The sequence below is a fragment of the Homo sapiens genome, chromosome 14 (genome assembly GCF_000001405.40).
Source record: "Homo sapiens chromosome 14, GRCh38.p14 Primary Assembly".
In the NCBI taxonomy this organism is placed as follows: domain Eukaryota; kingdom Metazoa; phylum Chordata; class Mammalia; order Primates; family Hominidae; genus Homo; species Homo sapiens.
In genome coordinates this window covers 70282723-70295047 of record NC_000014.9, presented here as the reverse complement: position 1 = coordinate 70295047, position 12325 = coordinate 70282723, and the positions used below count along the sequence as shown (strand labels likewise).

Below are 12325 nucleotides of genomic sequence, written 5' to 3'. Positions count from 1 at the left end.
CCTCCCAGGCCCTCTTCTTGTTTACTTATACCCAGCCCCGAAAATAACAGTGAAAAGTTGCTCATAGATACTCAATGTTTTCTCATACACCATGAAAATCGAACCTCCCCCTCTACGCAGTTACCCCATCAGTCCCCATTACAACCTCTGACAGCTGCCGCCCTAGCTGGATCCCTAGGAGTCTAGGACAAGACACCCCTTTCAGCACTCCTTCTCACCTTTTTACTTTACATCTCCAGTTTTGCCTCGCACAAGGTCTCTTCTTCCTCTGTAGATCCTCTACCTACATGTGTCTACCTGCTAATTAGACAGGCACATGCACACTAGTTTTCCTTACCCCCAAAATTCAATTTGCAAATAGGACTGAAGAGCTCCCTGTTCCCCTCATGACACCGACATGACAAAAAAGAGTTATTCCACTAATTCCCTTGATAGTCAGTTTAAGACTTTCTGCCTCCACTATTGCTCTCGGTACTGAAATAGCAGGCATTTCAACCTCTGTCACAACCTTCCGTAGCCTGTCTAATGACTTCTCTGCTAGCATCACAGACATATCACAAACTTTATCAGTTCTCCAGGCCCAAGTTGACTCTTTAGCTGCAGTTGTCCTCCAAAACCGCCGAGGCCTTGACTTACTCACTGCTGAAAAAGGAGGACTCTGTATTTTCTTAAATGAAGAGTGTTGTTTTTACCTAAATCAATCTGGCCTGGTGTATGACAACATAAAAAAACTCAAAGATAAAGCCCAAAAACTTGCCAACCAAGCAAGTAATTATGCTGAACCCCCTTAGGCACTCTCTAATTAGATTTCCTAGGTCCTCCCATTCTTAGTCCTTTGATACCCATTTTTCTCCTTCTTTTATTCAGAACTTGTATCTTCCGTTTAGTTTCTCAGTTCATCCAAAACCCTATCCAGGCCATCACCAATCATTCTATATGACAAATGTTTCTTCTAACATCCCCACAATATCACCCCTTACCACAGGATCTCCCTTCAGCTTAATCTCTCCCACTCTAGGTTCCCACGCTGCCCCTAATCCCACTTGAAGCAGCCCTGAGAAACATCGCTTATTCTCTCTCTCCATACCACCCCCCTAAATTTTCGCCGCCCCAACACTTCAACACTATTTTGTTTCATTTTTCTTATTAATATAAGAAGGCAGGAATGTCAGGCCTCTGAGCCCAAGCCAAGCCATCGCATCCCCTGTGACTTGCATGTATTCGCCCAGATGGCCTGAAGTAACTGAAGAATCACAAAAGAAGTGAAAATGCCCTGCCCCGCCTTAACTGATGACATTGTCTTGTGAAATTCCTTCTCCTGGCTCATCCTGGCTCAAAAGCTCCCCTACTGAGCACCTTGTGACCCCCAGTCTGCCTGCCAGAGAACCCCCCTTTGACTGTAATTTTCCTTTATCTACCCAAATCCTATAAAACAGCCCCACCCTTATCTCCCTTCACTGACACTCTTTTTGGACTCAGCCCGCCTGTACCCAGGTGAAATAAACAGCCATCTTGCTCACACAAAGCCTGTCTGGTGGTCTCTTCACACGAACGTGCATGAAACTATTTTTTAACTGGATCTCTGAGCTCTGAGCAGAGGAATTATTTTGAGGTTAGACCATGTGATGCTTTTACAGTACACTTAAAAAATTTTTTTTAACAAAGACATTTCTAAGTGTCTAAATTACACCCTTCCTTAAAAACCCCAGAGTAGCCTCTGTTGCAATAGCTATTAATGAAGAAAACAAAATCCATTCAACTGAGAGGAAAAAACTTTTGCTCAAAAATAAGACAGGGTCTTAGGAGGACAAAAAATAACCCCATGAAGGCCTTTTAAATACAAACACGCGCACACACACACACACACACACACACACACACACAATCTTGGATATTAGCTTTTAATTAAGATGACTTTTAACCATTGAGCTCCTTTGAAAAAAATCTTTTAAAATCTCATTACTATATTCCAGCTAGGACAAATTGCTGCTACTTCAGCAGTACCAAGTATCAAACCGGAAAAAGTTTGATTTAGGAACCAAACCCAGGCTGTCGTGGTGGGAAAAAAAAGAAGGCAGAACCTTAAGCTATCAAACTGCGGTACGGGGCAATATCCATTTCAGTTTGTCCTAGCTAGCAAAAAGGCGGCCTTGTTATGTAAATAAAGCTCCTGTAGTAGTCAAAATAAAAAACCTTTCCTCTTTTTGTTTTCCTTGGTTGGCCATTTTTCTCCCCACCATACCACCTTTTTTTGTGTGTATGGGAATTTAGCCACTTCAGAGGCCTTGTTCCCCATAATTTGGAACTTCCTTTGGATTTGATAAAGTCAGATAGAGTTGATCAAACCCAATGGGAAAAAGACCAAAACAACAAAAAAACAGTTAAGCAAAACAAACGATGGCACAACTTATAAGATCACTGAGTGCTCTAATGGTAAGGAGAAATTAAGAGTAGCTGGTTGTTAGTCTTAAATTTAACCAAGACAAACCCTAATTCAGGTACTTACCTAGGGATGGGTCTCAGGCTGTAGACTGCTCTCTACCATCCTAGAAGCAGGAAAAAAACCTCATCTTCCCTGTCGGAAGCGAGCTCAAACTCCATAAAGGAATTACCTGCCTTCCATCATCATGGAAACAGGAAATCTTGCCTGCCTTGTTGGAAGCAAGTAAAACTCCAAAAAAGAGGAGTTGTATTAGCTTAGTGATTTGGGGACCCAAGATTTATTTTCCTTTCACATGCTTTATTGGCAATAAAAACATTACAGATTCTGGACTGAATAAAATATTAGGACAACACTGGTCTGGCAGATCAGGAGGCTTCTATCATGGACAAATTCCAGCACAGAAGAGATGGCAAGGATTAATTAATGTGACAGCTATTAACTGAGTGATTACCATGAGCCAAGCAACAGTCTCCCATTTGGAATACAACAATGTTAAGAACAGAAAAAGATCCCTGACTTCATGGGCCTTATATTCTCACAGACAGATATAGACGTTAAGCAATAAATATATAAATAAGTAAATTCTTATTAGAATTAGTATATTAGAAAGTGATTAATTGTTATAGCAAAAACTAAAAAAAGATGACGAAATTTGAAAGCTTGTAGGGGGAGGGAACGGCAGGTTACAATTTTAAATAGGGTGCTCAGGGTAGGCCTCATTGAGAGGACGGTATTTTAGCAAGCACCTGAAGAAAGTAAGGGAGGTAGCCATGTGCAAAGCTGGAGCAAGTGGGGTCCAGGCAGAGGAAACAGTCAGTGCAAATGTCCTGAAATGGGAGTGTAATTGAGGGAACATATCAGGCAAGTAGGACTGAAACCAAGTGAGTCAGGGAGAAAGATGAAGTGAGGTAGAGGGAGGAGGGGGGTGCAGATCATAGGCTTTGTTGGCCATTTTAAGTCCTTTGGCTTTTCTCTGAAGGGAATGGTGAGCTATTTATTGGAGAGTTTTGAGCAGAAGAATGACATAATCTGACTTACATCATACAAGTATCTCTTTGGCTCTGCTAGGTTGAGGCATGCATTTGACTTGAACCAAAGCTCTCCTTCAGATGATCTTACATTTCACATCTAGATAAGGAAACAAACAAATGAAATATGGAGATGTGTCACAAGCAGCAGGAGAAGGAAAGTTAAAAACCAGCTAGGGGCTGCTCTGCCTATGGAGTAGCCATTCTTTATCCCTTTACTTTTCTAACAAATTTTCTTTCACTAAAAACAAACAAACAGCTAGCGAGTCAGCTATGGAGAGGCTTGTTTTGAATAATCCCATGCAGAAATTCCAGAAATGTTTCCCAACATGTAATAAGCTTTTTTGCAGTGATTGTCAATTTTTGTGCCCTAGAAAGTGTGCCTACTTCAAGAGAGCCACTCCAAGGATGTTAAACAGGCCCTGCTTGGCAGAGTACAGGCTCCTCTAGTGGGCAACACAGAGCCAGAGGGCTTAACACCTCAGTTCACCTTTTTTTTTTTTTGGCTCATTACCGTTGCTTTTTTTCCTAAACAGGAAAGAAACTGCCTTCCAACAAGCAAAATATACCTCAAAACTCATTCACAGCACCATCTCGATCAAGGCACTGGCACAGAACACTTTTATTAAAATCATCTACATCATCATTCACTCAAAGGACATTCATCAAACACTTGCCATATGCTAGGGACTTTTCTAGATGCTGGCGATTCAAAGAGGAAGATTCTTTCCTGTCTTCATATTGCTTATACTTTAGTCAAAGCACCAATTTATACGTTAAAAGTGTTTATAGACTATAAGTGCCTTTCTAGATATAGGAGTCAAAGGCTCTGAGGAGAGAGTAATTTACATTGTCTGAAGAATGGGGAAAACGTCATGAACCTGATTTCACTAGAGCTGCATTTTGAAGTTGAGGAAATTCATGGTATACTCAGGAAATGTTGTCTTCCTTAGGATGGAATATGAAGTTAATGGGAAACAGTGGCAGAAAGGCAGATCAACATCATATTACAAGGGGCCTTAAATTCCTTGCTAAGAAAATCAGAGTGAACACTTTCAGGCAAAAGCAGAAGAATCCCAGAATTATTTATCTCTCTTAGGTAACTTTCAGCAGTGTCAAAGGTAGACTTGAGAATCACAGTGAAGTTTCTTTTTTCTCTGTTTTAACCCTGTAATCATGGGTGTAGAGATCAGGAGTTTCTCCTCTGGAGACTCAATGGGGGTCCACTCTAATAGGTGGAAAGACAAGGGATTAAAACAGAAAACTTTCAATGGCAATAGAGAAGCTGGGACAGATGAAAAGACTTCAGGGATACAGCATGGTAAATATGTCACTTGCACTCTGTATGATTGTCACCCCAAATAAATAGGTGAGGCTCTGACTCCCCCTGGCAAATGGCATGTGTTGGGGCTGTTTCCTAACCTAACACTGTAGACAAACGTTCATTCAGGTGCCCATTAGATTACTAGATTCTTTAAGACAGGGATCATATCTTTTCATCTCGGTATTCCTAAAGCCTTCCAATCACAGGGCACAAGGTGGGCTGGATGTTCATTGAATGAATGGAAAATAGGCATTCCTAGACGAAGATGACAAACCATTTCTAAGTGTAAGCATTCATTGTTGTTTTTTTCTTTTTCTTTTCTTTTTTTTCGCGACCGAGTCTTGCTCTGTTGCCCAGGCTGGACTGCAGTGGCTCGATCTCAACTCACCGCAACCTCCGCCTCCTGTGTTCCAGCGATTCTCCTGCCTCAGCCTCCCAAAGTGCTGGGATTACAGGTGTGCACCACCACACCCGGCTAAGTTTTGTATTTTTAGTAGAGGTGGAGTTTTGCCATGTTGGCCAGGCTGGTCTCGAACTACTGACCTCAGGTAATCCACCCACCACGCCTGCTGGGATTTCAGGTGTGAACCACCGTGCCTGGCTTTAGTGTAAGCATTTGCATTAATGGTTCAATGATAGCAAGACATTATGTTTGTTGATCAGGGTTCAACCTAAACTTTCCTCACATTTTTATAAATAGCTTTTATTAATTTGCTAAACTTCCCATCTGACAAATAGCCATAGAGGCTAGGGTACTAGCTTCAAAGTACCTTTTTTCCTTAGCTGATTTTATCGAGTGGCTATGTGCCTTGGAGTGTTCTGAGAAGATGTTAGAAAAGGGGAAGTACCGGTTTCCGTATCAGTTGGATGGTGACAGCGAACGTGATTCAAGTCCCTAAATCTCAACTACATGTAGGCGTTCCGGAATGAAAACGCTGACGTTCCAATTTCCGGCTGGACCCGCAATATGTTACGGTGGATCGATTGCTTTTGCCTGGCAGATGCCTCTTAGGAGAGGGTTGGGTTCCCAGAGGGAGCTTCTCTGGGAGGTAAAATCTGGAGACTTAGTTCCACGTGAACAGGTGAAAGCTTTTTAAAAATTTTTTATTGTATTTTATTATTTTATTTTACATTTTTACCTAGCCTCAGAAGTAATCAGGTTCATTTCTGTTGCACTCTGGTAGTTACAAACAACCACTAAGGCCAGCTAAGCCCAGATTCAAGGGTAGGGTAATTGAGATTCCACCTCTTGGTGGCAGAATAGCAAGGTTACATAGCATAAAAAATGTGGGATGGAAGCTATCTCTGGAAAATACTATCTGCCATATACACACACATACATGTATATATATTTGTGTGTATATATGTGTGTATTTACATACAGATAGTTTTTCTCTCTAAAGAACAGCAATGTTAGTAAGTTAGTCTGACCTTTATATCTCTGCTCTTTTGTAGGAATCAAAGTTTTTCCCCTATCAGTGCTACTTCCTTTTCTCCCCATTATTTTTGTGGTAGCCCACATAGCTACTATACACAAAAACATGAAGTAGCCAATTGTGTGGGCAAAATGGCAATTGCCATTTTAATTATTTTTTTGAGACAGAGTCTTGCTCTGTCACCCAGGCTGGAGTGCAGTGGTGCAATCTTGGCTCACTGCAACCTCCGCCTCCTGGGCGCAAGCAATTCTCATGCCTCAGCCTCCTAAGTAGCTGGAATGATAGACGTGTGCCACCACACCTGCCTATTTTTTGTATTTTTAGTGGAGATGGGGTTTCATCATATTGGCCAGGCTGATCTCAAACTCCTAATCTCAACTGAACCTCCTGCCTTGGCTTCCCAAAGTGCTGGGATTATAGGCGTAAGCCACAACGCCTGGCCCATTTGCCACTTTAAATACTTGGACGAGAAGCTAGGCTCATGTCTTTAACCTAGTAAGTGAACCTGTGTAGAGAGGAAAGTGGTCTGGCTTCCCAGCCTCAATCATTAATTAAAAGATGAAGAAAAGGGTGCCTTCTTTCTCTATAATTTGAGTGATACATGTAATCTCAATTTACTGGGATTTCCTTGGAGTCCATTAACAGATTGCCAGTCCTTTTTATCATGCCCTGTTTTCTGAATTCCAACTAGGAAATTTTCCACCATGCATATGTTGCTTTTCACCATTGGATAAACATTGCTTGAAATTATATTGATAGGCAGGTGCAATGTTGAATGTAACAAGGATTTTGATATTGCTATTGTAGTCTCCTAATGTGGGCCTTACGGCCAGCAAGAGAAAGTGCTTCATATTCTAGTTAACTTCGGTTTGCTATAATGTAGTTAGGTTAAGAGAAAGTTTCAGCAGAAAAGTGTAACTCTGTCCACCTCCAAGCTAATCCTACTTTCCATGGACAGTTATGCCCCAGACATGCATATGTACCTCAGTATCTTCTCAGCCCACAGTGCTTCCCAAATTCTACACGCGGCTTTCTATTTTTTTGCAATGTGTGTGTACCACCCTACTATCTGTATTAGATTTCTATTGTGTTAACAAGCTCTCACAAACTTAGTGGCTAAAACAACACAAATGTATTATTTTACAATTCTTGAAATCAGACATCTGACATAGGTGTCACTGCGCCAAAATAAAAGGTGTTGGCAGGGCCGCATCCCTTTCTGGAGAATCAAAGAGAAAATTTATTTCTTTGCCATTTCCAGCTTCTGGAGGCTGCCCTCATTCTTTGTTTGCATTTCTCTTCTATTTTCAAGGGCAGCAATGGCAAATTGAATCCATCTCACATCACATCACTCTGACCTCCACTTCTGCCTCCCTTTTTCACCTTTAAGGACCTTTATGATTACACTGGGCCCCCCAGGATAATCCAGGATAATCTTCCTATCTTGAAGTCAGCCATCAGCAACCTTAATTCCATCTTCAACCTTAATCCCTTCCTGCCATGTAAAATAACATATTTAGTGTCCAGGGATTATAAGGTAGACATCTGCCTACAACAAGAAGATTTTTATTATTTTGGAGATATATATATCTCAACACACTAAAATACTTGAATAGCAATTATAAAGCCATCTACAAGTTATCACTTAACCCTTAGGTTCTTTTCAACCTTCATAATATCCAAAGCACTACTGTATTAGTCTGTTTTCATGCTGCTGATAAAGACATATCTGAAACTGGGAACAAAAAGAGGTTCAATTGGACTTTCAGTTCCACATGGCTGGGGAGGCCTCAGAATCGTGGCGGGAGGTGAAAGGCACTTCTTACATGGCAGCGGCAAGAGAAAATGAGGAGGAAGCAAAAGCAGAAACCCCCGATAGACCCAACAGATCTCTTGAGACTTATTCAATATCACCAGAATAGCATGGGAAAGACTGGACCCCATGATTCAATTACCTCCCCCTGGGTCCCTCCCACAACTCATGGGAATTCTGGAAGATAAAATTCAAGCTGAGATTTAAATGTGGACACAGCTAAACCATATCAACTATGAACCAATGAGATTTTAAGTAGAATTCTCTACCTGTCAGATAAGCAAAGATGAAAACATTTGACAATGTACATGATTAATGAAAATGTGTAGAAATAATGCACATTCACTGTTATTAATTTGATGTAAATTTGATAAGTGTACCAAAAATTTTAAATAGCTATCCTTTTTGGCCTACCATTTCCACCTCTGCAAAGTAAATATTGAGATGTTCTTTACAATATTGTTTGTAATTTTGAAGAAAAAAGAGTATCTCTCTATATAAATAGATTATATCATAATTTATATATACCATATATGTCTGGCACACATATATCTCTGATATATGTATATAGAGGTATATATAATTATGATATATCTATATGTTAAAATAATACCTATCCCTTTAAAAATGTATGGGTAGAGGACTTCTAGTTTTGTCCAAGGTGGAGTATCCCCATTTATCCCTAGTATCCCCCTTTACAACTAAAAAACCCTGGACTTAACAAATATAGGAAGACTCTGAAAGATGGAAAGATGACAGACTGCCTAGGGACTTCATAAAACTTTATTAAGAACTGAGATGAAGTAATCACCTAGCTTCTGAATAATGGATATTTCTCTCAATTCTTGTTGCATGAAGACATTCTGGTAAATAGCAAAGAGTCTTTTCCAAACAAAAAAAATTCTTAGGGATAAATGGCAAATTCAAATCATCCCAGATCTCTACACATTTACTTCTTAGTTTTGGTGTGGATGCACTTGTGGGATGTGCATCGTAGGATGGCAGAAAACCAGAGATCGTCCCTGGGAAGCCCCAGGCTTCTAAAGAAACATCCTTATTATAAAACTGTATCCATGTAAGTGAGTGAGAAATATAGCCATCATTTTAATTAACACATCTCTAGTTCTACTTGAAAGGCATTTAAAGAGGTTGGTAGGACACTTGGCTCCCTTAGCAGTTGCTGAGCAAATCCTTTGAAAAGCAGTGGAATTTGAATAGCTCAGAGGATGACAGAGAAGGAACATAAGGATTTTGGAAAAGAAAGATATGAGGAATCCATCATGATCCTTTTTAGCAGGGGATGCCAGGGCAAGGAAAGGAGGTCTCAGTGGATTCTCTGTCTTCCTGGATCATTTTGTTCACCTGTATCATCTACTTAGTTTTTGAAACTGCAATGATTCACTCTGGAATGACTCTGGGAGTCAAGAAGAGTGTATCCACCTGTGTCAAATGCTTCTGAGACATTACATGAGAATAGGATACAGAACTGATCATTGAGTTTGGCAACATGGAGGTCATCAGGATCTTTACTGAGGAAGAATAGGCATGAAACCTCATTGGAGTGGATTGAAGAAAGAATGGGAAGTAAGGAATTGAAAACAGTGGATGTGGGAAACTTCTGAGAAATATTTTGCAGTTAAGGGGGACAGAGAAGTAGAGTGGTATCCAGAGAGAGAAGACTAAGTTGGTTAGGGTCATTGACATGGTTTGGATTTGTGTTCCTACCCAAATCTTATGTTCAACAATTAATTCCCAACATTAATTATAATATTGGAGGTGGGACCGGGTGGGAGGTGACTGGATCATGGGAGTGGATTTCTCATGAATAGTTTAGCACCATCCCCCTTGGTACTGTCCTCGAGATAGTGAGTGAGTTCTCAGGAGATCTGATTATGTAAAAGTGTGTAGCACCTCCCACCTTGCCCTCTTGCTTTTGCTCCTGCCATGTGAGACATCTGGTCCCCCTTTGCCTTCTGCCATGATTGGAAGCTCCCTGAGGCCTCCCCAAAAGCAGAAGCCACTACACTTCCTGTGCAGCCTGCAGAACCGTAAGCCAATGAAACATCTTTTGTTGGTAAATTACCCAGTCTCAGGTATTTCTTTAATGTGAGAATGGACGAATACAGTCATATTATGGACAACCTTTTTTACACTGGCAAAGGGTAACCCTGAAGATGTCAAAACCAGAAAATTTGTTATAAGTGTAGGTTTGGGCTGGCAGCGATGGCCCATGCCTGTAATCCCAACACTTTGGGAGGCCAAGGCAGGGAGATTGCTTGAGCTCAGGAGTTTGAGGCCAGCCTGGGCAATGTGGTGAGACCCAATCTCTATTTATAAAAAATTTTTTAAATAGGAAGGGTAGGCTTGGAAATGGGAATGTGGCAGGAATAACTTGAAGGGTGATGTTGAGAGACTGGTAGAGCAGATGCAGCAGTAGTCCAGGAATAAAGAGGTAAGAATATGAGCCTGGGTGGCGGCCACCAGGATGGAAATTAACAAACAGAAATAAGGGCCATTATAGAAAATGGTGACATTTACTGAAAGACTTTGAGCAGCACGCTCTAATCACTTGCTCAGAGATGAAAATGTGGGGCTGAAAGGGATCTTAGTATAAACTTATTTTACAGAAGGGGAAGAAACAGTTCCAGAGAAAGGAAGAAGTTAAAGCGTATATTTTACATAAAAAGAAATTAAGTGTACACATAAATGTAGCCAGGCACAGTGGCTCACACCTGTAATCCCAGTACAGGGCTAAGGTGGACAGATCACTTGAGCCCAGGAGTTTGTGACAAGCCTGGGCAACATAATGAAACCTTGTCTCTACAAAAAATACAATTAGCCAGGCATGGTGGTGCGCTACTTGGGAGGCTGAAGTGGGAGGATCGCTAGAGCCTGGGGAAGTTGAGGCTGCAGTGAGCTATGATCACACCACTGCACTCCAGCCTGGGCTACACAGCAAGACTCTGTCTCAAAAGAGTTAATGAAAGTATACACATGAATTTACATATATGTGTGTGTGTGTGTGTGTGTGTGTGTGTGTGTGTGTTCAGAGCATACTTGTCGCTGAGAACATCCCTGTTAGGGGTCCTGGATGAGATCATCTGAGCACTTTGCTTCTTGGTCTTCAACATTCCCCATTGCAAAGGGCAGGACTTAAGGATTTCCCCATTTGTGTCTCTTACATGGACCCCAAAGGGCAGGACCATTGTACACATTATCAAAAGTTGCCCTTTGCTCTGGTGAATGTCAGCTTAAACTGCTGGGCTCTTGGGCCTTTGCTCTGCAGTTCTACCCTATGGTCATCTTGAATTCGTCAGCTTTCACACTCTCCTCTACACTTCTCTTGTCCTCAGCCCACCAACTCTCCTGACATTCCTTCGTGTTGGTGCTGGCTTGCTCTCTGCCTCCAAAGCTATTTAGAGTTCAGGCACCTGCCCTCCTTGTTGCTACCACCCAGAGATGCTCACTTCTGAATTAGCTCTGTTTGTAGGGAAGAATTATTTAGCCCTTTTGGAAGGGGAGCTGCTCAGGCTCTGGCGGCACAGCACTTTAATGTTTCATGTTTCCCACATTCTGCTCTTCCTGGGTGCACAGATGCTTCCTTAAAGGGATGGGGGAGGCTGAGTGAAGGCACGCACAAGGGCAGACTCACATGGCATTGGGCACACTGCCATTGCCACTCAGGCATCACGGTTAACTCCAACACAGGATGTCTAGTTCCTTCATTGCTTATGGAGACCTGCTTTCCCTCCCTCTAGCTTGGCTACTCTCACCATCAGGTAGGAATGAATATATTTTAACTCTAAGTGTAAACCCCAATAGTTATTTCCCAGAGGCCTCTGAGCTGCACATAAAACCCAGAATATGGCTAGTCTTATGTTGTGTAGAATCATCCATTCAAGGACAATTAAAAGAAACGTCAGGAAGCCTCCTCTCACCTGGCACTCATCTACTACCTTGGGCAAGTTATTTAACCATTCCAGGTCTCATGTTCCTCACCTGGTGAGGATGAAGTGAATAAATATAAAGCATTCAGAACAATGCCTGGCATTTTGGCTATGTTCCAAATAAGGAGGGGGTTATAATCACATGTGTATACTGCACATCAAACATTTACATACACGCACAGCCATTTCGATTGACAGAGATCCACTTGGCCAGAGCCTTACAGAAGTGAAACTGGAGTTTAGGTGAAAATGTTTCCAGATGCTGCCACTCCTTTCTCATGTTTTTTTGTTGTTGTTGTTGTTGTTTGTTTCCTGGATGCCCTGCGTATGAGTG

At 41.6% G+C, this 12325-nt stretch overlaps 1 long non-coding RNA gene across 4 annotated transcripts in view, besides 1 other annotated feature; it reads right to left on the bottom strand.

The window, feature by feature from the left end:
- LOC101928046 (uncharacterized) overlaps nt 1-12325 on the bottom strand; it is a 60419-nt gene that overhangs the window by 20190 nt on the left and 27904 nt on the right. For 3 of the 4 annotated variants that reach the window (XR_007064236.1, XR_943988.2, XR_943989.1), the window contains one exon: nt 3482-3571. This is a non-coding gene — a long non-coding RNA (uncharacterized LOC101928046). Of the gene's footprint in view, nt 1-2504; nt 2547-3481; nt 3572-12325 lie in introns of those variants that run through there. The other variant, XR_943990.2, reaches the window with a different exon arrangement.
- Nucleotides 5273-5774: an enhancer, noted in NCBI's record as "H3K27ac hESC enhancer chr14:70755991-70756492 (GRCh37/hg19 assembly coordinates)". NCBI's record gives its function as "activates a minimal SCP1, AML or CMV promoter by ChIP-STARR-seq in naive H9 embryonic stem cells {active_cell/tissue: H9 hESC(naive)}" and the evidence as "EXISTENCE:reporter gene assay evidence [ECO:0000049][PMID:30033119]".